The sequence below is a fragment of the Homo sapiens genome, chromosome 2, assembly GCF_000001405.40.
Source record: "Homo sapiens chromosome 2, GRCh38.p14 Primary Assembly".
Lineage (NCBI taxonomy): Eukaryota > Metazoa > Chordata > Mammalia > Primates > Hominidae > Homo > Homo sapiens.
In genome coordinates, this window is record NC_000002.12 from 241,141,747 (window position 1) to 241,164,316 (window position 22,570).

Genomic DNA, 22,570 nt, shown 5'->3' on the forward strand with positions numbered 1-22,570 from the left:
CCATTTCTCTCCCATCCCCTCCCCTCCATGTCCTCCAGCCAGGACCCCTGACTTTCTCAGTGAGTGGCCTGACCCCGACCATTCTCTGAGGCTGGAAACCACGTGGCCATCCAGCCACTCTCGCCCCTGCTCTTCCCCAGACAGCAGTCACCAAGCGCAGCTCCTTCTCATGTCTCAAGGCCCTGTACCTCCGGCTCCCACCCCTGCTCCTCATGCAGCCACCAGAATGATGCTCCAAAAAAGGAACACACCTGTCAACACTCACTGAGAACATTCCTGATCAGCGCCTGGGTGAAGCCCACTCCCAAGGGCGCTGTGTGCCTCCCAGCCCACCCCTCCCTGCAGTATCCTGGGCACTCTCCACAGGGCCCTCCGCTCTACACCCTCAGACACTCCAGTGCACAAGCTCAGCTCCAACACCCTCCTACTCCAGTGTCGAAGTGCTCCTTGACCTGGAGACCAGACTCCCAGCCACCATTTCCCGCAGCTCTATGCCCCACTTCCCCATTTTCCAGGTCTACCCCAACTTCAAGCACACAGCCTGCTGTCTCCCCAAGTGCCTCCATCAGACAGCCCCTGAAAGGCAAGTGACGCTTCCTTCCTCACCATGGCCCAGTCCTTTGGGGTGCCTGGACAAAGGAGGCACCAACGGAATCTGGACATAGGAGGCACCAACAGACTTCTGCCCCATGATTCTTGGTCCACCAGCTAAACCGCGTTTAGCTCAGTAAACTGCACGAGCAAAGCTGCAATTCCCTAAGTAAAATAGCCTAACCTAGAACAGCGTTCTCACATACTCTAAAGTAAGAAATAACATTTTGTTGTAACTTGACCCTGAAATGTGAAGGTGAGTTCCACCTGCTGCCTGAAAAGAAGCGCCAGCTGCCTGGGAATCACAGCAGAGTAAAAGCAGCAGGAAGGGTCCTGCCGGAGTCATCTGCCAGCATGAGCCGAGCACTTAAACCACGAACTTTTCTCTGCAGGAATAGAGTGACTTCAATCCCTGGTGAGAGGGTTTCCATGAGAACACAGAGCAACTCCACATTTGTATTTCCACGCGCTAAGGCCTGCAGTGGTCGAAGGTCATTACCAGAGAGCGCTGTCCTGCTCTGGCAGAGTCTGGAAAGCCCATTCCTTCTGCTCAGGTGTCTGTGGGCTGAGGAAAACGACCTGCTGGGCTCAGCAGTGGTCTGTGCAGCTGGGCCCTCTGCTGACACTGGCAAGGGGAGGCTCTGGGAAAGGCATCTCTGGTCCTCTTCAAAGGCTGTTAAGCCCCCGTCCTCCATGGGAAGAAGGGAGGCCAACTGCCAAGCTTCCAACTCTAACAACTAGAAAACAACATGAAGCTGATTAACATCTGCAATGCAAAAACACAAAGACAGTTTAACCAACTAATTTATAATGCTGAGTTCAGCTCGGCCCCAAAAGACATACACCACCAACCGCCATCCTGGGTCAGAACCCGCAATGGGAGAATGGTCCACCCAAAGTGGTGCTAAAAGAAGCTCTTTCCGGGCCAGGCACGGTGGCGCACGCCTGTCATCCCAGCACTTTGGGAGGCTGAGGAGGGCGGATCACGAGGTCAGGAGATCGAGGAGATCGAGACCATCCTGACTAACACTGTGAAACTCCGTCTCCACTAAAAATACAAAAAATTAGCCGGGCATGGTGGCGGGTGCCTGTAGTCCCAGCTACTCGGGAGGCTGAGGCAGAAGAATGGTGTGAACCCGGGAGGCAGAGCTTGCAGTGAGCCGAGATCACACCACTGCACTCCAGCCTGGGCGATAGAGAGAGACTCCATGTCAAAAAAAAAGAAAAAAAAAAAGAAGCTCTTTCCAAGAAAAATACATAGGAAGATATGGGAAAGAGGGAAGGAGAGAGAGAGGAAAACAAAGAACAGGGTGGGAAGGAGCCATGAGGGAAGGCAGGGACTGCAGGTACACACCAACTGAAAATACTCCCAGGTCATGATGAACCCATCAGCACGTGGGGGCTGCACAGCTCCCATGGTCTCAGCTTTCCCCTAAACAGTGAGTCCTGACCATCCGACCAGCTGTGCACAGAATCACCTGGGTGCTGCCAACAAGTGAGGTCGCGGGGGCCATGGCCAAGAGGCCATGTCTCCTAGAGACAGGCCTGGCACCAGAGATTTGTATTTTTAGCTTTTCTCTTATACATGATTCAAATGCTGATACAGGGTGGAAATACAGGAAAATCTCACATACTCTTCCGAGTTCCCTCTCATGGTGACATCTTACAGGAGAGTGTCACAGCCAGGAAACTGACTTGATACCATCCATCAGCCTCGTCCAGATTTCAAGGCATTTACCTGCAGGTGTGTGTGTGTGTGGGTGTGCGTGTGTGTCCGTGCGTGTGTGTGCGTGTGCACATGTGTACATGAGCGTGTGTGTGTGCGCGCATGTGAGCACGTGTTCCATGCAGTCTTGTCACATGTATACATTCATGTGACCACCCTGCAGAGTGGAGATACTTAAGAGTTCCATCCTGCATATTGGCAAGCACTTGAAACACAAGTACACATTTACCAATACCCTGTCCTCATGGCCAAACTCAACAAAAAGAGCCCTTAAAGCAAGAAGATTTCCTCTACTGGCAGGAAGCCCCCACCTGGTCATCCAGGCTTTAGATAAACAGCAAGAGGAGGCTGTGGCCAATACCAGAACCATGGCTGGAGTTTCCCCCACGAAATGAGGAGACCCTGGGGCCAAGGCAAGCCCAACCACACCCCATATACCCTCTTCTGGACCACCTTCTGGGTATCCAGAACCCCAGAGTTCCCAGCCAAAGGGTCTGGTGCCCACTTCTAAGACACACACAGGCCTCTTTCCACCCAGGTCCTCCCACACTGGCACACCTATAGCCGTGAACTGGCTGAGGAGCAGCCTTCCAGGAATAGCGAGCTTGGACAAGCTAGCAGGATGCCCACACGAGGCCCTTCCAAGACAAGGCAGGCCTGGGGTGAAGAGGAAAGGGGAGGTGGCCCTCCCAACACCACCTCTTCCAATATGGAACTCCAAGGAGTCCCCCCTCCTTGCCTTATCCTAGCATCTGGTGGCTACTGGCCATACTGGCCATCTTTGGTGTTCTTGACCTGCAGCTGCGTCACTCCAGTCTCCGCCTTCGCCATCACAGAGCTTCTCCCTGTTTGTTTGTTTCTTTTTTTTGAGACAGAGTCTCGCTGTGTCGCCCAGGGTGGAGTGCAGTGGCGCGACTTCGGCTCACTGCAACCTCCGCCTCCCGGGTTCACGCCATTCTCCTGCCTCAGCCTCCCGAGTAGCTGGGACTACAGGCAGCCGCCACCACGCCTGGCTAATTTTTGGTATTTTTAGTAGAGTCAGGGTTTCACCGTGTTAGCCAAGATGGTCTCGATCTCCTGACCTCGTGATCCACCTGCTGCGGCCTCCCAAACTGCTGGGATTACAGGCGTGAGCCACCGCGCCCGGCCGACTTCTCCCTGTTTGTATGTATCTTCACATGGCCATCTTTTTTTTTAACTAGGAGATGAGGTCTCACTATGGTGCCCAGGGCATAAAAGATCTGATCTGTGGAAGTCAAAACACTAAACTTTTTAGCCAGGCAGGTCTCGTGGCCTGCACCTATAGTCCGAGCCACTCTAGAAGCTAAGGCAGGATAATTGCTTGAGCCCAGGGAGATGGAGGCCAGCCTAGGCAACAAAGCGAGACCTGTCAAACCAAATAAAATATAAAATAAAATCACTAAGTTTTTAGGAGAAAAGAGGCTATCTGTAAGACTTTGGGGTAGGGAAAGTTTTCTTAAACAAGGCACAAAAAACTCTAGCTATAAAATAAGATTAATAAGTTTAACGTTAAAATTGAGAACACATCACACCTGTAATCCCAGCACTTTGGGAGGCCGAGGCAAGCAGATCACGAGGTCAAGAGATCAAGACCATCCTGACCAATGTGGTGAAACCCCATCTCTACTAAAAAAAAAAAAATTAGCTGAGCATGGTGGCACACACCTGTATTCCCAGCTACTCTGGAGGCAGAGGCAGGAGAATCGCTTGAACCTGGGAGGTGGAGGTTGTAATGAGCCGAGATGACACCACTGCCCTCCAGCCTGGCGACACAACCTGGCAGGTGGAGGTTGCAATGAGCTGAGATCACGCCACTGCACTCCAGCCTGGCGACACAGCGAGACTCCGTCCCCCCCAAAAAAAAGAAAAAAAAAAATGAGAACACAGCTTCACAAAGAATACCATAAAGAAAACGAAAGAACAAGCCACAATTTGGGAGAAGATATTTGCCACATACATAACCAACAGAAAATTAATATCCAGAATAGCTTTAAAAGATCAACTATTTAAAATTTAAACATTTTTAAAAGACACATGGCCCAATAAAAAATGTCAAGAAATAGGAACAAGCGTTTTACAGGAGAGGAAATCCTAATCATGATGATGTTATACCTACTAAGTCAGCAGAAATGAAGAATCTAGTAATACCCAATGTCAAAAAGGATTTGGATCAACAGGAACTCTTAATACATTAATATAATCTCTTTAGAAAACAATTCAAGTGAAACATTTGTCTATATGGATACAGCACTTTTCACTTAGATTTATATTTCAGAGAAATTTTTGCAAACAGATAAGAAGACACCAGAATGTTCGGGACAATATGGTTCTCAATGGCAAAGAGACAGGCAGAAAAAAGGGAGGGAAGAAAGGGAGGGAGTGCGGGAGAGAGGGAGGAAAAAAGGAAATGAAACCCAAACACTCTTTAACAAGAAGATAGATTTTAAATTCTGGTATATTCATACCACTAATTACAGCAGTGAAAACAAATAAACTACACACAAGGGTGAATCTTAGCCATATACGAGTGGAAAAAATCAAGTTACGGAAGACAATCAGCAGGAGGATTCCTTTGTCATGAAATAATCTAAATAAGTAGTTCAGGGAAACACACCTATGTAATTAAACTACTTCTTAAATAAGAGACTGGTAAACCTAAATTTCAGGCAGGTGGTTCCCTCTGGGTCAGGCAGGTGCAAGAGTGGGGAAGAGGCACAAGGGCACAGGTCCCCTGATTTCCTAGGGTGATGGGTTCAAATGCATCCACTCTGCTGGTACAATTCATGACTAACACTGCCTTTATTCTTTTGTATGAATAAACTGATACGGCCAAAAAATTCAGAGACATTCACACACAAACCCAGCCTAGGACCCTGGAAGGCAAAGGCTCTGCAAACCTGCAGATGTGTAGGAAGCTATTACATATAGGGTTTGGGGTTCGAGTGTGCAGCTTTCCTACAAGCAGCAACAATGAATGGGACCTTTAGTTACAGGTTTACATCTCCTTCTCTAAGCATCCAAATGCACTAATTATTGCCATAATAAATAACAATGACATGATTATAGTGTGAGGCAGTTTTTTCTACTTTTAGAACCAACCTATAGACAAAGCTCAGGACACTTAATTATAGCTTCAGAATACATTGTAAATGTTGTAAAACCTTACTTTCTTAAAAAAGTAATATAACTCTTCAGAATACATTGTTAGAAAACTTTAATTCCTAAAAAATATAACTCTTCAGACTGCAATGTCAATGTTACAAAACTATTTTAAAAAGTCATATACCCAGTACTTTGGGAGGCCAGGCAGATTACTTGAGCCCAGGAGTTCGAGATCAGCCTGGGCAACATAGGGAGACCCCATCTCTACAAAAAAAAAATTAAAAATTAGCAAGGTGTGGTGGCACATGCTGGTAGTCCCAGCTGCTTGGGAGGTTGAGGTGGGAGAATCGCTTCAGCCCAGGAGGCGGAGGCTGCAGTGAGAGGACACAGCACCACTGCACTCCAGCCTGGGCCACAGAGCAAGACCCTGTCTCAAAAAATAAAATAATAAAAAAGTAATATAACTATTCAGAATATATTGTAAATGTTACAGAAGTTTCTTTGTAAAAGTAACTAACATGAAATGGAAAGGGGGAAAAAAAGCAAAGGGAGGGTAAGGGCATGCAATTTTTTGTCCTTCATGGGAGAAAGTAAATAAATACCAACTAAAGTTGTGGAAGTTTAATTAGGTTACTGAGAGTTACAAGCCTATCCAGGAGGGAAACTGATGGGACCCTCTGCGGGAGCGGGGAGGACAGCAGGAAAGATGCATCCTTTTTCCCGCTGTGCCTCCTGGGCATCTGAAGTCCACGTGGGCCAGTTTGTCACTGAACAGCATAGGCCCCTGGAGCCTCCCGTGCACTCCACAGCCACAGCCTGGCCTCAAGAAAGAACAGAGTCTGGCTTCACATGACCTTAGATCACTAAATTTTGACTCAGACGTTAACCAGAAATACCTGCACGTCCAGGCCCAAATTTTTAAAATTGTCCTTTGTATCCACTGTGAGCTGCAGACACGGGAACCCAAACCCAGCAGACAGCACCTAATGGTGCCACCGAGTAACCATATTCCCATTGCTAGTTTTGATTCCAGAAGACACAAGTGACCCCACCTCAGACCAAACAGAAGCAAGGACAACTTTGCAGGGAGCATCTCGGCGAACTTCTAGAAGCAACTGTCCCCCTCCCACCAGAACATAAGCTAAGAAGCAAACAGCTCCCATTGCTGTCAGCACAGCTGTACAACAAAAAGGAGAACCAGTTTCAGGATGAGGCCAACAAGGTGAACAGTGCAGTAGAACACAGCAAGGATGTCAGTCCTGGAGGAGGCACCTGCAGAGCCGGGCCCTACCAAGCAGAGTGAAGAAGTCTTTCAGAGGCAAAGCCTCCCAGAGAGGAGTTCAGTACCCAGAAGAGTAGGTGGACGTGGGCCTGGAAGGGCCAAGCATGAGCCCAGAGCCTCCTATGCCTGCCCAAAGTCTTAATTTTATCCCCAAAATGAACTTTTAAGGATTCAATGCTTAGGAGTAACATGGCCAGATATGCATTTTACAAAGATTACTCCAGGGACCATGTCGGTGCAAGGCTGGAAAGCAGGAGAAAGGCTACAGTAATCCAGGCAAGAAATTATAAAGTCTTAAATTAAGGTAGCAGCAGAAAGATGAAGAGAGGGAACCCCTAAGAGAAAAATGGACATCGAATGGTACTGAGATGCGGAAGGTAAGGACGAGAAAGGCCTCAAGACGGCAGCGCAGGCCCCTGCCGTACTCTGGGAAAGAAAAATTAGTGAAAAAATTAAGGCTCAAGTCCAGGTCTTTGCTGTAACCACGAGCGCCGGCGGCGCGCGCCCCCGACCCCGCGGCGCCGGCTGAGCCCGCAGGGACCCACACGCCCAGTGCAGGAGGCTGGCGGGATCCGGGCTGGTTCTCCTGGAGCTCGCCCCGCAGGGCCGGCTGCGGTGAAGAGAGCGCAGGGTCCCGAGGCGACCCGAGGCGCGGGGCCTCGGCGCCCACCGGGCAGGCTACACTGAAGGGCACCCCGAAGACGCTGGGGGCGCGGGGCCCAGGGCCAACGGCCGCAACCCCGCCGCGATTTGGGCACGGAGAGGACGCGGGCTCGGCGGTGCGCGAAGGGCGACGGGCGCAGGGGCGGGAGACCCGGGGTCGGGCTGGTCTAAGAGTCGGGCGGCGGATCCTCCTGGGCCAGGGGCGCGGAGCCGCGCAGGCCCCACAGCCGCCCTGGGGAGATGGCGGAGCCCGGCCCGCTCTCCCGAGCGCAGGTATCTCACCTGGATCAGGCGAGGGTCACGCCAAGCCGGCTACACACCACGGAAAGGAGCCCTTCCGCGCTTTTATCCCACCGACCAATCGCACAGCGACTAGCACCGATTGACAAGCTCCACGGACCAGCCACTTGCGCGTATGGGCGGGACTAAGCTAGCCAGAGTCTAGAAGCCCGCGCTAAGGGTTGCTAGGGACGCACCAAACACCCCTACGGCGCTTCGGAGGAGCCAAAGGAATAATGGGCGCCTCCGCCCCCGGGCCGGGCAGATGCGGTTTCCTCCCGACTCGCGATCAAAATGGGTGAGTAGCGCAGAGCTCGCCTCTTGGAGGCCTCTTTCTGAAGGCGGAGGACGCGGGGCGGCTCGTTCATGGGCCGGGTGGCTCCGCAGGGTAGACGAAGGCTGCAGCGTCCGCACTGGGCTGGGAACGACTTGCAAGGGGAGCCCAGCTGGCGCCCCGGAGCCAGCCAGCTGGCTAGCGGCCCCACCAGCGCAAGTGCCCCGCACCTGCCCGCCTGCTCCGAGCGTCAAGAGAAGGCGGCATTTCGCATGGGTAAAATCCGCGCGGGGACGCCGGGAGAATGTTGTTGCTCTTGCCGTTCGGCCCATTGTACAGACGCAGCCAGCGAGGCTCGCAGAGGTCAGGGATGCACGTAGGACTGGCCCGCACCTTGCAGCCACGGAAAGATCCGCCTGGCCCGCGGCCCCTCCACGCCTCCGAGGTCGAGACAGTGACATAAGTCAACTCTCAAGCCCAGGGCGTCTCTCCACTCTGCCTAGACGTCCACTCCGTCTGCCTGCAGCTACGGCTCTGTGCGTCCCGCTTCGACTCCCTCTGCTTTCCTTCCCAGCTTCTCGCCTCCAGACTGTTCCGGCTCCGCCGCCTGAAATTACCTGCTCTGGGGGAGGCGCGGCGCGCGGCCTCATGACGGAACTACAACTCCCATGAGGCGCTGGGCCCACGCAGGCGCGGCGCGGCTGAAGTCGCCGCGCCGGAATCCCATTGGCAGGGCCGGCTCTGAGGCGGGAGCCCTGATTGGCTGAGGGGTCTGAGGCGACAGATTCCGGAAAGGGGAAGAGCAGCCAACATGGCGGCGGAACGCGGCGCGGGGCAGCAACAGTCGCAGGAGATGATGGAGGGTGAGCGGCCCCTGCGGGCGGCGGCCCAAGGGCCCAGCGGGCGGGGGGAGCTGCGGGCTGGAACTGCTCCGTGCCTGAGAGAAACTCCACGTCCTGCCTCTGGCCGCCGCCGCGCGGCCCCCTGACAGCTGACAGCCGGACCCGGGGGAGCGGGGGAGGCGCTGGACCTCGGGGGAGCCCCGGCCCGGGGGCGGCAGCGGCCGGGAAGGACCCAGAGCTAGGGGGAGAGCGGCGGCGCGAGGCCAGGCCGGGGGTGGGGCTGAATGGGACGCGGTGGCTCCATTCAGTCCAGTTGGAGCCTCGCCCCGAGCCTCTGAGATTGACGGGCGGGGGAGCCTCCTCGGTCAGCTGACGAGGAAACTGAGGCGCTGGGATCTACCAGAGTCTGCTCCTTGGTTCACGTGGTGAGGGTGGAGAAGGGTCTTCTCTTGAAATCGAATGGACTGTTGGGAAGGGGTAACAAGGAACCGGAAGATTGAGTTACACAAGGTGATACCTGTTTTCAAAGCTGTCATAGTTCCAAAAAGTCTGAATTCAACTTTCTTCCTCCTCATTCACTTTGTTGGAAAAAAAAACCACATGCATATATGTATATGTTATACGTACACATGTGTTTATAATTTTCTGCATATCTGTAGGTACAGTCATATACGTGCACGTACAGTATGTGTGTAAAAATGCGTGCACACACCCACTTAGCAACTGGGGAATCAGTTGTGTCATCAGCTTAAGTACTTTTGGGTCCCATGGTTTGGTGAGGGGTACAGACCTCCCAGAAGAGCAGTCACTGCCTTATGTGAAAGGGGTAGGGAAGAGGAATGTGGAGCTGGGGAAGGAGGGCGGGTGCAGCAGGAAGGCCTGACATGTTAGGGAGTGGTGACAGCTGCAGAAGCAGGGCGAGCTCTGAGCTGGAGCCTGAAGAATAACTCGAAGGCAACGAGGTTGGGGATAGGGTGAGGGAAAAGAGCAAGAATCACTCAAGACGGAGAAAACTGCTGTCAAAAGGTGTGGAGGAGAGTTTGACCAAATCGTATGTGGTGGGGATGGGGGCGGTAGTGTTAAGGGTCTTGGACTTCATACCCTTTGAGTCTTTTTAAGAAGCGCCTCTTCATATCCTCCCACTCCCTCTTCAGCTGTTTCCATGTCTTGGTAAATGACAGATATAAAAGCCCGGCTTTTCTCACTGTCCCACTCCCACCCATGTCCTGTTAGTCAAGGAGCTCTGACTTTTACTTTTGAAAGTATCTCCAAATCTCCGATACGTCCTCCATTCCCATTGCCAGTACCTTAACTCAGACCTTCATCATCTCTAGGCTAGATTGATTGTCCCTGTTCACCAGCCCATCATCCCCAGTACACCAAAGTCATTTTCTTACATGCAGAGCCACTGTCCCATGTTCCAGACCCTCTCTGCTGCCCTCAGGCTTCACTTTGGCCAACCTTCGTTAGCTAAGCCTTTGCTAACCTCACACCACTCCTCCTCTTACTGGGGTTTTTGTGCCAGATTGTCATGCAGTAGAACTTTCTCTCCCTGAGCCTGGACCACCAAGTGACCTGTGCCTGGTGGTGACTAATTTGTTATATATCTACTGCATGTCATGCACGTGCTAACTGCTCTTGTGCCTTTTCTAATTTAACCGTGACAGCAACTTGCTGAGGCATAGGTGCTATACTAGCTCCCTTCCACAGACTAGGAGATTGAGGCTTTCAAATGGAAACGATTTGCCAAAGCTGCATCTCTAGCAGCAAGATGCAAACTCAGGAAGAGCATTCCAGAAATACTTTTGGACTCAAAAGATCAGATTTGGATTTTAGAATTAGATCAGACTCTCTGGCAGGGGAGAATAGGTTAAGCAGGGCAAGACAAGTCACAGAGACGAGTTAGGAGGCAGGGCAGGAGCCCAGGCTGCAGCTAATAAGTAAGTGAGCCACCGTCATTGCGGGGGTAGGGAAGAAGAGATGGATTTGGAGGTTTTGGAGGTGGGTTTTATAAGGACTTGTTTTCTACAGCAATCCTTTCTTGGGTTTTACTTTGCTAGGCTAAGCGGGAAGTACAAAGATGAAGTTGAACTTTTTCCCTCAAAGAGCACATCTCTTTGTAGATAAACCATAGTCAGGAAAGAGTATTTTCAGTATGGTTGATAATTCCAAGTAATGTGTTAGTGCCTCATGTTTTCCAGACAGACTTCCAAAAGAGGTCATGAGTAAAGTTATAAAAAAGAAAAATGATTTGACAACCTTACCAAAGAATTTTTACCTGACACATTGAATTGCCTTATTCTTTAATTCAAAAAATATTTATGAACCTTTAAAAGCCTTAAGTTGCTAACACTCTGTCCAGTGTCCAGTGTGAAAGCTCATTTCACACCAATGAGCTTTCTGTGGGCGGTCAGCACTATTGGCTGTATTCTCCTTTTCCTTAGTGATCCTCCCTGCCCACAGTCTGATTTGAGTTAGTCTTGATTTCTTTCAGAACGTGGGCCTGTGAACTTGGCTGGTTTTCTTAGCCAGATAAATAGTGGAGCATGGATGGAGGTATGTGGCAGAAGGGTCACAGTGGTGATCCCCCAGCCCAAAAGTGAAAGGCACTCAGGAGGTGCTTCACTACCGGGTTCCATTAGTGGATTTAATCACAGGTGATCCAAGGCTTTCAGAACACTGGGCAATTCTTCACAAGCTCCTTGAGGGCAGAAGTAGTGTGTTCCTCACCTAAGTATCCATGTGGGCTCCACACTCTGCTCCCCATTCTCCCCGCGGCCATATGCCTCAAATGGTGCTGGGACATGGGAGACACTCAGATGTTCGTTGAACTGGATTCAACAAACATGTTTAAATGAAATCCTTTTGACTTACAACCGGGTGTTTATTATATGTTCCTCAAAGTCCCATAAAGTGGATGTGAATTCTCATTGACATGTGTGGGTTCAGTTGACAGGCGGGTCGAGTCTGAAGAATCCGGCGATGAAGAAGGGAAGAAACACAGCAGTGGCATCGTGGCCGACCTCAGTGAACAGAGCCTGAAGGATGGGGAGGAGCGGGGGGAGGAGGACCCAGAAGGTACCAGGCCCAGCTCCCTTGGGGACATCTGCTGGTTGGGGGATGTGGGCTGTGCTGCACGTGGTCTGGCCCTGGGTGTGGGTGCTGTGTCGGTCTGGAGAAGGACTGCCGTGCTCCTTAGGGGTCCTCAGTGGCCCAGGGCAGGTGGATATGCTCTTTGAGGTGCTCCTTCAGCAGGCTGACTCATTGATGGCGTTTGCAAAAAGGATGTGGTTTTTTCCAATTCCACTGAAGGCAAATCCTAGCACAAATATGGGTACTAGTATGCCGTCTGAGACAGAACCATGACATTGTTGGCCAGATGCAGTGGCTCATGCCTGTAATCCCAGCACTTTGGAAGGCCAAGGCGGGTGGATCACGAGGTCAGGAGATCAAGCCCATCCTGGCCAACATGGTGAAACCCTGTCTCTACAAAAAATACAAAAATTAGCTGGGCGTGGCAGCGTGTGCCTGTAATCCCAGTTACTCAGGAGGCTGAGGCAGGAGAACCGCTTGAACCCAGGAGGTGGAGGTTGCAGTGAGCCGAGAACACACCACTGCACTCCAGCCTAGGTGACAGAGGGATACTCCTTCTCAAAAAAAAAAAAAAAAAAAAAAAAAGGAAAAAGAAAAGAACCGCAATATTGTTATATTAACCATATGTTTAGGAAATGAGATTCGAAATAAATGTTATGGCTGACTGCTGTGTTTCTATGTCCTACCATAGCAATAGAAACCTTTAATCTCTGAGAGAAATTATTTCTGAGTCTTGCCTTACCATTTTTATAGGCCTGAGGATTGACTTCTAAAGTGCCTAGATGTGGCCGGGCGTAATGGCTTACGCCTGTAATCCTAGCACTTTGGAAGGCCAAGGCGGGTGGATCACTTGAGGTCAGGAGTTCGAGACCAGCCTGGCCAACATGGTGAAACCCTGTCTCTACTAAAAATACAAAAAAAAGAAAAAAAGAAAAATTAGCCAGGCATGGTGGTGTGCACCTGTAGTCCCAGCTACTCAGGAGGCTGAGGCAGGAGAATCGCTTGAACCAGGGAGGCAGAGGTTGCAGTAAGCTGAGATCACACCACTGCACTCCAGCCGGGGTCAGAATGAGACTCCATCTCAAAACAAAAAAGTTTCTGAACAGTATGCATGCATGTATGTACTTTTACCTGCTAAAGAAAGAAAACACATCAAACGGGCTGAGTCTGTCCAAACAGCAGGTTTAAGAAGGATCTATACATTTTGTGTTTTCTAGATTTGTATACAGTGTATGAATAATCATGCATCCCTTATGAAAATAAATTTATGAAGAAACAAACCTAATTTTTAAAATAACATTGTGCTCTCTGTGCCAGCAAAGATGATTGGTAACTATGGCAACCTACTTTTAAGTCACAAGGAGATTACCACAAAAGTACCAGTCACATTCACTTTGGAACTTTGAGGCTGATGTTCTGGAAGTGATGTGGGTGGAATAAAGTGCATGGGAGTGATAGATGGAAGCTTCCGTCATCGCCTGACTTAGTCACCAACAGTGGAGCGGTAGGAGCCCCCGCTATCCTCAGATGGGTGCTGCTGAGACATTGGGTGTTTATGGAGGACTTGAGAGTTGGCAGAGCAAGCCTTGTGTGCTTTCTTTCCCTGGCTCACTAGCACAGGCTAATCATGTTGTCATCATGTTCTGTAAGTACACCAGTGTGGTAATGTGTTATAGATGAGGAAAATGAGACTCTCTGCAGCTTGTCCAAGGGCACACGGCTACAAGGCAGACCAGCTGGCCTGGCCTGGAAAAATCCAAGTTTTTTCTTCGAGATGATTAGCTGATTATGAATTTTCTGGGAATATGCATTTCTAGCCCTTAGAGGAGCCAAGACTTGCTCCTACCTGTATTTATTTAAGTCTTAAATTCAATTAAAACAAATTTAATCATGTCAACTGTTACCTTCTACCTATTTTCCTTAAATTATTTTTAAAATATGATGAATATATAATACACTCAGAAGGGCATTCTAGGCTGGAAACCTTGTTTCAGAGGTTAGCTGACATTTTGAGTGGTGAGCGGCCAGCCCTGCTGGCTGTATTACAAACAAGACCCCTTAAAGCCATGCGACCGTGTGTCCTGAGGAGCCTGGCACAGCCCGTTTCTGCCTGCTGGCCCAGCATAACTGTGCCCTTCTGCTCTCAAAGGGTCCTGGTTTGGACTACATGACCTGGGCGCCCTGCCTTAATTGTAGCACCTCTTCCAGTGCAACTTCCTGAGTTTATGAACGGTGACTTGACACTGTCTTTTGAGGTGATTTGTTATCTATCTCTTGGTTTTGCCCAGTTCCTTTTATTTAATTCTTAGGTTGGTATCCTTTACAGTTGTGGATAAACTATAGTAAACTTTTTTTTTTAACTAACCACAGTTGATGGTTATAGAAAAGGCATAGTGGAAAACAATGAAGTGAATGCAACCATGTGGGATCATGACTTTGTTAAGCTGGTCTGATGTCAGGTGCTCCTCTCAGAGGCCTCCAGGTGAGAGGAGGAGCCAGGCTGGAGGAGCCAGCCCTTGGCATGGGGTCCAGGGCTGTGTGAGCTCACTCCCCTGCAGAAGCAAGTGCACGTTTGCTCTAGGAAGAGCCACAGTAACAGCACTGACAGCCCTGTAAGGTAGTGACAATGACAATCTGTTTACAGGAGAAAGAACATCCTATGCATATAATTCACAGACTCCAGACTGGGAGAAGCACTACAAGACAAACAGCTTGTTTTCCTACAACAGAAAACTGCAAGGGGAAAAAAGAAATTTAAGAAAAATGCTGGGCTGGGTGCAGTGGCTCGTGCCTATAATCCTGGCACTTTGGGAGGCCAAGGTGGGAGGATCACTTGAGGCTAGGAGTTCCAGACCAGCCTGGGCAACATAGCGAGACCCTGATTGTACAAAACATGGTTTTAAAAAATTAGCCAGGCATGGTAGCACACACCCGTAGTCTCAGCTTCCTGGGAGCCTAAGACAAGGATTGCTTGAGCCCACAAGTTCAAGGCTGCAGTGAGCTATGATCACACCACTATACTCCAGCCTGAACAGCAGAGTGAGACCCTGTCTCTTAAAAAAAAATTAATTTAAAAAAGTTTTTTAAAAGAGAAATACCATCTAGTCACAATATACAGCCTTATTTGGATCATAATGCAAGTAAACTAAGGAAAGAAATGTTAAGACAGTTGAGGAAATACGAACACTGACAATCTTTGGTGATATTGAGGAATTACTGTTAATTTTTTTAAGTGTTTTGAGGGGTGAGTGTGCGTGTTTGTGTGTCTGCATGAGTCTGTGTATACCACTGTTGTGCATGCGTGTGTCTGTGTAGTGTGCATACGTGCCTGTGTGTCTTTGTGCATGCGTGTGTGTGTGCATCTGTGTGTGTCTTAGTCCTTTTCAGCACACATGCTGAAGTAGGTTCCAATGAAATGAAATGAGGAAGTGCTTAACAGGGAAGCTGTCGCCTCAGCAGGGAGAGCAGCTCTCTCCCTCCTCCGCACAGAGGATGCCGGCTCCGGGGTAGAGAGTCCTCGTGAAATCCAATGGGCTTCTCTGCTGGAGTGAGTTCACCAGTCTCCCCACTGAGAAGTGTGTTTAAATTATTCAGTGAGCTTCTTTGATCCTATCTGTTGAACTATGTTTTGTTTTGTTTTGCTCTTTGCAGAGGGAAGTGTTTGTAGATGCTGGGCCACCTTCCAAAGCAATAAAAGGCCCATCCTAGAGCATCTGATGTGCCCAGCATGGTCTAGATTCTAATGGCCTGGTTTATTGCCACAAACAAAAAGAGAAAAGCTACATGGGAGGCAGGCTGCTGCCAGTTCTGCAGCTCTGGGAGTCACGGAAAGGCAGTAGTGCTACCCTGCTCACCTGCACTCAGCTACTTCCTCCCCTCCTTCCCACTAACAGGTTCAAAACACATTTCCTTTCTCAGGAAGTTCAAAGGCACAGATGGATGTTTGGTGACCTTTGCCAATATCTGAATTCAGGAAATTCAGAATGCTTAAAACATCACTATTGTTGGAGCAGGGTCTAACCCTGCCACATTCTCCAGGTCCTCAGCAAACCTTCCCATTGGTTCCTCCTCGGGGTTTGAGCTGGCTCTGGGCACCAAACAGCCCCAGACCTCAGCCAGAAGCAGCTCTTCACCAGTGCCTCCTGTTAATGGGGTTCTGAACAAATCTCTTTTTCTTATTTTTTCAGAAGAACATGAGCTGCCTGTGGACATGGAAACCATCAACCTGGACAGAGATGCAGAGGTAATGCCGCCTGCTCAGCCCAGCCTTGGGCGTGGTGATGGACCACCCTGTCAGGTTATCTTGTATGAGATTAGTAAGTTATTTCCCTAGAGAGGTGGCCTAAGCCTCCCTTGGTTGAGTCAGAGTCCCGTGTTCATGTTTTTCTTACCAGTGATTGTTATCCCCATGTCTATTCGACCCTTGAGGATTGTGTGGCAGATGAGATGCCTTTGACTCATACATTGTCTGGGTCTGATGATTACATTATACATGAGGGTCCCAATGGCCCCAGGCTGTGTATGACTGGCCACTGGGCCTCCTGAGCCCACAGCGTGTCTCTGATGGTGATGGGATGGGGTGCATATCCTCAGAACCTGAGCTTATGTTTTGTGCATACAGGATCTAAGGAATGAGAAAAAGATGTCATGTACCAATCATTTTAAGGGCCAGTTTTACATAAAACTTAGTCATCACTAAGCCAAAGAGCCCCCGCAGCACACCTTGTCACTGACATCTGTCTGCTGCAGACCCACCTGGCACTGCCTCCCCCACTGCTGCCCACTTCCAGGCCGCCTCTTCTAGGACGACACAGGTCTCCAGCCACTTTGCTATAGCTGAGTATAGATTTCTGCTTTGTTTCAGGATGTTGATTTGAATCACTATCGCATAGGGAAGATTGAAGGATTTGAGGTACTGAAGAAAGTGAAGGTGAGAGGGACTCTTATGAGGGGACTATGACGCTCACCCATAGGATGTGGATAAGTCCAGAATCGAGCAGTCAGTCCTGAGTTGTGGTCCTTGTCCCAGCCTGTGGGCGGCGTGGCTGCCTCCACCTTGTAGCAGGCCTTTCTTTACTGGGAGCACAGCAGGTGTGAGACAGCAGTCGAGGGACTTGAGGCACAGCCCTGGGGCTGGCTCTCCTGAGCCCAGGCAGCCAGTGACCTGTGACTCTGGCCTGCCTCGGTTTCTGTGCCTGTGTTCAATTAGGCACTCGCTGACTTTTACAGTCCTCCGTGCCTCTCATTGGAATTTGTCAAAATTGAGCCCACCAAAGGTTCTTATGTTCTGCCAGGAAGTGGCAGACACCCACACCCCAGGCCAACGCCTCCCTCCCCAACTGGCCTGCTTGGTGGGGAGCCTGCCTCCTGCCTCCCTTTGGGTTCCCGCCCTTCCTCAGGTGTGTTAAGGAATTATAGCTTAGTGCCCTTGCCCACCTGCCTCTCAAAGGTCAGCACCTTTCTAGGAAACAGCAGGAGAATGAAGACATGTCCTTCTACCAGAAAGGCCTTTCTTGTGTCCTCCAGTATCAGCTGAGGCCTTCTCGTGGCCTCCCCCTTGCCTGTGTCAATTGTCCCTTTTCCCATCCCCCAGACTCTCTGCCTCCGCCAAAATTTAATTAAATGCATTGAGAATCTGGAGGAGCTACAGAGTCTTCGAGAGCTGGATCTTTACGACAACCAGATCAAGAAGATTGAGAATCTGGAGGCGCTAACAGAGCTGGAGTGAGTCATGAGACCCACAGGAGAACAGCATGGTGGGAAGGCCACTGGGTGGGGGGTGTCCAGTCTCCAGAGCCAACCTCCTGCTGGCTCTTAGCCCTTGAGAGGCTGCCTCTGCCACAGGGTCCTGCCCTGCATCTGAATCCCAAGTCTCTGCCTCCTGTTTTCAGGGCTCCAGGAGGCCTCATCGGCTTCATGCATGTCTTTGGCTTCCTGAACAATCCTGACTTCCAAAGTAAATCTTTGATGGGAAGGCTGCAGTGGGGACTTCTGGAAAGCCTCCATTCAGGGATGATACTGAGATCGGTAGAGAGGAAAGTTAATCCAGAATTGCCTCTTGCCTTTTGAATACTCTTTTTTTTAATTACAAAAAAAAGTGACATTTCTAATTTAAGGAGTCAGGTCCTAGGCCAGGTGCAGTGGTGCATACCTGTAATCTCAGTGCTTTGGGAGGCCAAATTGGGAGGATCACTTGAGCCTAGAAGTTCGAGATAGCCTGGGCAACATAACAAGACCCTGTCTACAAAAATTAAAATTAAAATTAAAAAAGAAGGAGCCAGGTCCTAGTTATAACTTTACCTGGATTTCTGCCCTTTGTCGCTCATTCATTTTTGCTTGTTTTGTTTCTGTTTCTAATTCAATACTTCTCAGGCCCCTTCTGTGTGCAGAGCCTGGTGTGAGGTCCTGTCATGGGCACAAGTGTGAACAAAACATAGTTTCTGCCTCAAATACCATACTGGGAGCCAGGGCATCAGGAGCCTGTAGGCTGCCTCTGGCTTGCTCCGGGCTCCTGGGCAGCCTCCAAATCCCTCATGACAGCATCAGTGTGAGCCAGGCGGCAGCAGGGGCACAGTCAGAACCCCCCACCCTCTCCCACCCGGTAGTGACTGCCGTCCCCTGATGGGGACGCCACCTTTAGTGGTTAAATTGTGAGTTCTATGCAACCTATGCTCGTGAAATTTTTTTAAAAAACTGTTTTGGTTGTTCTCAGGATTCTAGATATTTCTTTTAATCTGCTGAGAAACATCGAAGGGGTTGACAAGTTGACACGACTGAAAAAACTCTTCTTGGTCAACAATAAAATCAGTAAAATTGAGAACTTAAGCAACTTACATCAACTACAGATGCTAGAGCTGGGATCTAACCGCATCCGGGTAGGTGCAGACAGCCCTGACTAGTATATTCAGGGAGAGGCAGCTAGCGGGCTGTGTGTGGACTCAGTGGGTGTATGTAGAATGCATGGTGAGTCTGCATTTCTTACAATGCTGTGATTTTTTTCATGAACAAGGAAATTACTATTTTTTTAAGAAAAAATGCTAACTGAAAGTCAGTATCAGTAAGTCCTGAGTGGTCTAGCCTTTCTTCCGCACGTAGATTTCAGTTGCTCTTCATCCAGATCATGACCCTGAATCACACTGTTCCCAGTTACATTCTGCCTGAGATGAACCAACCAACCTGAATGCCTTGCTCTTGAACTTCCTCATGGTCATCTTCTCTGGCATGCTTCTTCGAGATGAAAGTTTCCCAAGCCCAGCAAAGTGGTCACTTGGAGTGAACTGATGTACATACCGGGGCTTTAGAAAGCCTCTTGATCATGGTCATCTTCTCTGGCATACTTCTTCGAGATGAAAGTTTCCCAAGCCCAGCAAAGTGGTCACTTGGAGTGAATTGATGTACATACCGGGGCTTTAGAAAGCCTCTTGATCATGGTCATCTTCTCTGGCATGCTTCTTCGAGATGAAAGTTTCCCAAGCCCAGCAAAGTGGTCACTTGGAGTGAATTGATGTACATACCGGGGCTTTAGAAAGCCTCTTGATCATGGTCATCTTCTCTGGCATACTTCTTCGAGATGAAAGTTTCCCAAGCCCAGCAAAGTGGTCACTTGGAGTGAACTGATGTACATACCGGGGCTTTAGAAAGCCTCTTGATCATGGTCATCTTCTCTGGCATGCTTCTTCGAGATGAAAGTTTCCCAAGCCCAGCAAAGTGGTCACTTGGAGTGAACTGATGTACATACCGGGGCTTTAGAAAGCCTCTTGATCATGGTCATCTTCTCTGGCATGCTTCTTCGAGATGAAAGTTTCCCAAGCCCAGCAAAGTGGTCACTTGGAGTGAACTGATGTACATACCGGGGGCTTTAGAAAACCTCTTGATGCTGACACACTCCCAAAGGCAGTGCTGAGTTGGGCCTTCCTCCCTGGACAGCTTTATACTCCTGGACACCGTCCCCAGCAGGATTAGATCTGTTCTCCAGGATCCATTTGACCTTGAAAACGTGGGACAGAATGGAAATAAAAGAATTTTGAAAAGTGATCTGGTGTTCCACAGAAGCAGGATCAAGTCTTCACCAGCTGACTCATAACCACCGTCATGTGCTGGAGGGGAACTTGGGAGGGCGTCCCAGGAGGACTGACATTGGAGGTGGATCTGCCAGGCAGGGAGGAGGGAGGGTTCCCGTGGGCAGGAAGGAGGACTTCTCTCAGCCAGAAGAACACTTGAGCCCCGTGCCTGGCTCCTAATCAGGGTCATGGCACGGAGCCTTTGCTCCCCCGGCCTGGCTTAGTGGCTTTGGCAGCTGTGTCTAAGCACATCCGCCCCTGCCCATGTTCAGAATGCCCCTCTACTTGGCTTCTGGAAGTATTACAGCATTCTCTGTCTGTCCTGGGCCCTTGAGAGCTTGGACAGGATACAAACCAAGGGAGGGTGGTTTTGGCAACAGTCTCTTGACAGTTATTGTTAGAGATGTCATGGCCACAAATAGCAAAGCAGCACATTTAAAACTAGAGAGCAGCCCAGATGTCCGCATTTTACCAAGTGTCTCACTATGGAACTTTCTAGGGCAACAGTGGCTCATCACAAATTAATGCAGGCTACAGCATGTGAGGATGCCCCTGCCCCCGCCAAGTCCTGCAGTGGTGTGTGGATTAGCACACCATCTCCCCTCCTAGAGTCCCCACCTGGTTAGCATGCACCTTATCTGGTTATTTTGTGTCTGCTGAAATATTTAAAGAATGACTTGTTCTGAGAGAGAGTGAACTGACAGAGGAGGGAAACTGAAGTCAAATCAATAAACAGTCATTAAACATCCTGCTGTAGGCAAGTCACCATGGGGAGACCAGACAGGGCAGCGTGGTCACTGCCTCTGGAGGTTTATGGTTGAATAGAGGAGCACACGATCACAGCAAGAGTGATGTAGGAGGGTGTGGAAACTGGGCAAGAGGGGCAGAGTGCTGTGGTGTGAGGGCCCCCCAGGAATCCTAAGTGAGGGTCCCAGGATTTCAAAGACTTGAGGTCAGAGTGCCCCGTACCTCTCTTCTGTAGAGACTGAGGCTCTTGGGAGGACTTTTTTTTTTTTTTTTTGAGACGGAGTCTCGTGCTGTTGCCCAGGCTAGAGTGCAGTGGCACAATCTCGGCTCACTGCAAGCTCTGCCTCCTGGGTTCACGCCATTCTCCTGCCTCAGCCTCCGGAGTAGCTGGAACTACAGGCACCCGCCGCCACGCCCAGCTAATTTTTTTGTATTTTTAATAAAGACAGGGTTTCACCGTGTTAGCCAGGATGGTCTCTATCTGACCTTGTGATCCACCTGCCTCAGCTTCTCAAAGTGCTGGGATTTCCACGCCCGACAGGGGGACATTTTAATGTGTCAGCTCACAAATTTAGAACTGGAAGGGACTTGGGAATCTACTGGTCCTTGGGTTCTGAGACTGTTCCTCAGCACCCCAGGAAATCTGAGGGTTGGGAATGAGCTCAAGACAGTCTTGGACTCGCCACTATTGTATTCTACCTTCAAGTAGGATTTCCACTGGAAGTCTTAGCAGATACGTCACTAGCCCCACATCGCAGAGCTGAAGCCCACATAGCTCTGCCCCGGTCCAGGCACCTGCTGGCTGCCTGGGGCAGCCTGTCAACTGCAGTACTCATTGCTGTTCTGTCCTTTCCACAGGCAATCGAAAATATCGACACCTTAACCAACCTGGAGAGTTTGTTTTTGGGGAAAAACAAAATTACTAAACTTCAGAACCTGGATGCGCTCACCAACCTGACAGTCCTCAGTATGCAGGTACGGAGCTTCCTGAGCCGCCCTTCCCTGCGAGCCCTGGCAGGGCCAGCGCTGCTGGACACAATCTTAGTTTTTATCCTTCACTGCCTTCACAATTGGCACTTCGTTGCACTATTAGTAAGCAATTGAAACATTAGATGCCATAGACTTTATACACACATGTGCCAAGCAAAAACTTGATTCTCTTTTTTATTTTTTATTTATTTTTTTCACTTTTTTAGAAACAGGGTCTTTATCTGTCACTCAGGCTGCAGTGCAGTGGTGCTGTCATAGCTCACTGCAGCCTCCAACTCCTGGGCTCAAGCCAGCTTCCCACCTCAGCCTACCAAGTCGGTAGGACTACAGGCATGCACCACGACCTTCAGCTAATATTTTGTCAAGGGGGTGAGGAATGGAAGAGATGAGGTCTCACTATGTTGCCTAGGCTGGTCTTGAACTCTTGACCTCAAGTGATCTTCCTGCCTTGGCCACCCAAAATGCTGGGTTTACAAGCATGAGTCACCACTCGTGGCCTTTCTTTTTTTTTTAAGAGACAAGGTCTCACTCTGTCATCCAGGCAGGAGTGCAGTGACAAGTGCATTCATAGCTCACTATAGCCTCACACTCCTAGGCTCAAGCAATCTTCCCTCCTCAGCCTCCCAAGTAGCTGGGACTGCAGGTACACAGCACCATGCCTGGCTAATTTTTGTATTTTATGTAGAGAAGGGGTTTCCCTATGTTGCCCAGGGTGGTCTTGAACTCCTGGACTCAAGCAAACCTCCTGCCTTGGCCTCCCAAAAAATTTCTTTCTTAAGTGCCATGTTTTTGGCTTTTTCCACCCACCCACCTCCCCCTTCTGCCCCAGTAGCAGTCATAGATGGTTTTTAGCCAAAGGGGACTTCTTCAGAAGGTGGAGCTTATTCTAAATTCTAAAGT

General features: G+C 49.8%; 2 protein-coding genes across 16 annotated transcripts in view, besides 7 other annotated features; one reads left to right on the plus strand and one right to left on the minus strand.

The window, feature by feature from the left end:
- Nucleotides 1–8,601, minus strand: part of PASK (PAS domain containing serine/threonine kinase) — a 44,249-nt gene extending 35,648 nt beyond the window's left edge. For 4 of the 7 annotated variants that reach the window (NM_001252122.2, NM_015148.4, NM_001252119.2 and 1 more), the window contains exons 1-2: nt 7,668–7,726; nt 1,091–1,328 (exon numbers count right to left, since the gene is read on the minus strand). In NM_001252122.2, the coding sequence (NP_001239051.1) occupies nt 1,091–1,286 (196 nt within the window). In that variant the 5' untranslated portion in view covers nt 1,287–1,328; nt 7,668–7,726. Of the gene's footprint in view, nt 1–1,090; nt 1,329–7,667; nt 7,727–7,861; nt 8,083–8,210; nt 8,477–8,555 lie in introns of those variants that run through there. The other 3 variants (XM_047443736.1, XM_047443735.1, NM_001252120.2) reach the window with 2 other exon arrangements.
- Nucleotides 6,680–6,839: an enhancer, noted in NCBI's record as "active region_17418". NCBI's record gives its function as "activates an Ori minimal core promoter by ATAC-STARR-seq in GM12878 lymphoblastoid cells {active_cell/tissue: GM12878}" and the evidence as "EXISTENCE:reporter gene assay evidence [ECO:0000049][PMID:35858748]".
- Nucleotides 7,093–7,142: a silencer, noted in NCBI's record as "silent region_12528". NCBI's record gives its function as "represses an Ori minimal core promoter by ATAC-STARR-seq in GM12878 lymphoblastoid cells {active_cell/tissue: GM12878}" and the evidence as "EXISTENCE:reporter gene assay evidence [ECO:0000049][PMID:35858748]".
- Nucleotides 7,193–7,252: a silencer, noted in NCBI's record as "silent region_12529". NCBI's record gives its function as "represses an Ori minimal core promoter by ATAC-STARR-seq in GM12878 lymphoblastoid cells {active_cell/tissue: GM12878}" and the evidence as "EXISTENCE:reporter gene assay evidence [ECO:0000049][PMID:35858748]".
- Nucleotides 7,313–7,672: a silencer, noted in NCBI's record as "silent region_12530". NCBI's record gives its function as "represses an Ori minimal core promoter by ATAC-STARR-seq in GM12878 lymphoblastoid cells {active_cell/tissue: GM12878}" and the evidence as "EXISTENCE:reporter gene assay evidence [ECO:0000049][PMID:35858748]".
- The window catches only part of PPP1R7 (protein phosphatase 1 regulatory subunit 7), a 34,080-nt gene continuing 19,336 nt past the window's right edge, over nt 7,827–22,570 (plus strand). For 2 of the 9 annotated variants that reach the window (NM_001282412.1, XM_047444851.1), the window contains exons 1-7: nt 7,827–7,962; nt 11,730–11,858; nt 16,061–16,116; nt 16,738–16,803; nt 17,467–17,597; nt 18,586–18,748; nt 21,539–21,655. In NM_001282412.1, coding sequence (NP_001269341.1) covers nt 7,959–7,962; nt 11,730–11,858; nt 16,061–16,116; nt 16,738–16,803; nt 17,467–17,597; nt 18,586–18,748; nt 21,539–21,655 — 666 coding nt within the window. In that variant the 5' untranslated portion in view covers nt 7,827–7,958. Of the gene's footprint in view, nt 8,802–11,729; nt 11,859–13,271; nt 13,519–16,060; nt 16,117–16,737; nt 16,804–17,466; nt 17,598–18,585; nt 18,749–21,538; nt 21,656–22,570 lie in introns of those variants that run through there. The other 7 variants (NM_001282413.1, NM_001282414.1, NM_001282409.1 and 4 more) reach the window with 5 other exon arrangements.
- Nucleotides 8,353–8,512: an enhancer, noted in NCBI's record as "active region_17419". NCBI's record gives its function as "activates an Ori minimal core promoter by ATAC-STARR-seq in GM12878 lymphoblastoid cells {active_cell/tissue: GM12878}" and the evidence as "EXISTENCE:reporter gene assay evidence [ECO:0000049][PMID:35858748]".
- Nucleotides 8,803–9,142: a silencer, noted in NCBI's record as "silent region_12531". NCBI's record gives its function as "represses an Ori minimal core promoter by ATAC-STARR-seq in GM12878 lymphoblastoid cells {active_cell/tissue: GM12878}" and the evidence as "EXISTENCE:reporter gene assay evidence [ECO:0000049][PMID:35858748]".
- Nucleotides 16,565–17,065: an enhancer, noted in NCBI's record as "H3K4me1 hESC enhancer chr2:242097726-242098226 (GRCh37/hg19 assembly coordinates)". NCBI's record gives its function as "activates a minimal SCP1, AML or CMV promoter by ChIP-STARR-seq in primed H9 embryonic stem cells {active_cell/tissue: H9 hESC(primed)}" and the evidence as "EXISTENCE:reporter gene assay evidence [ECO:0000049][PMID:30033119]".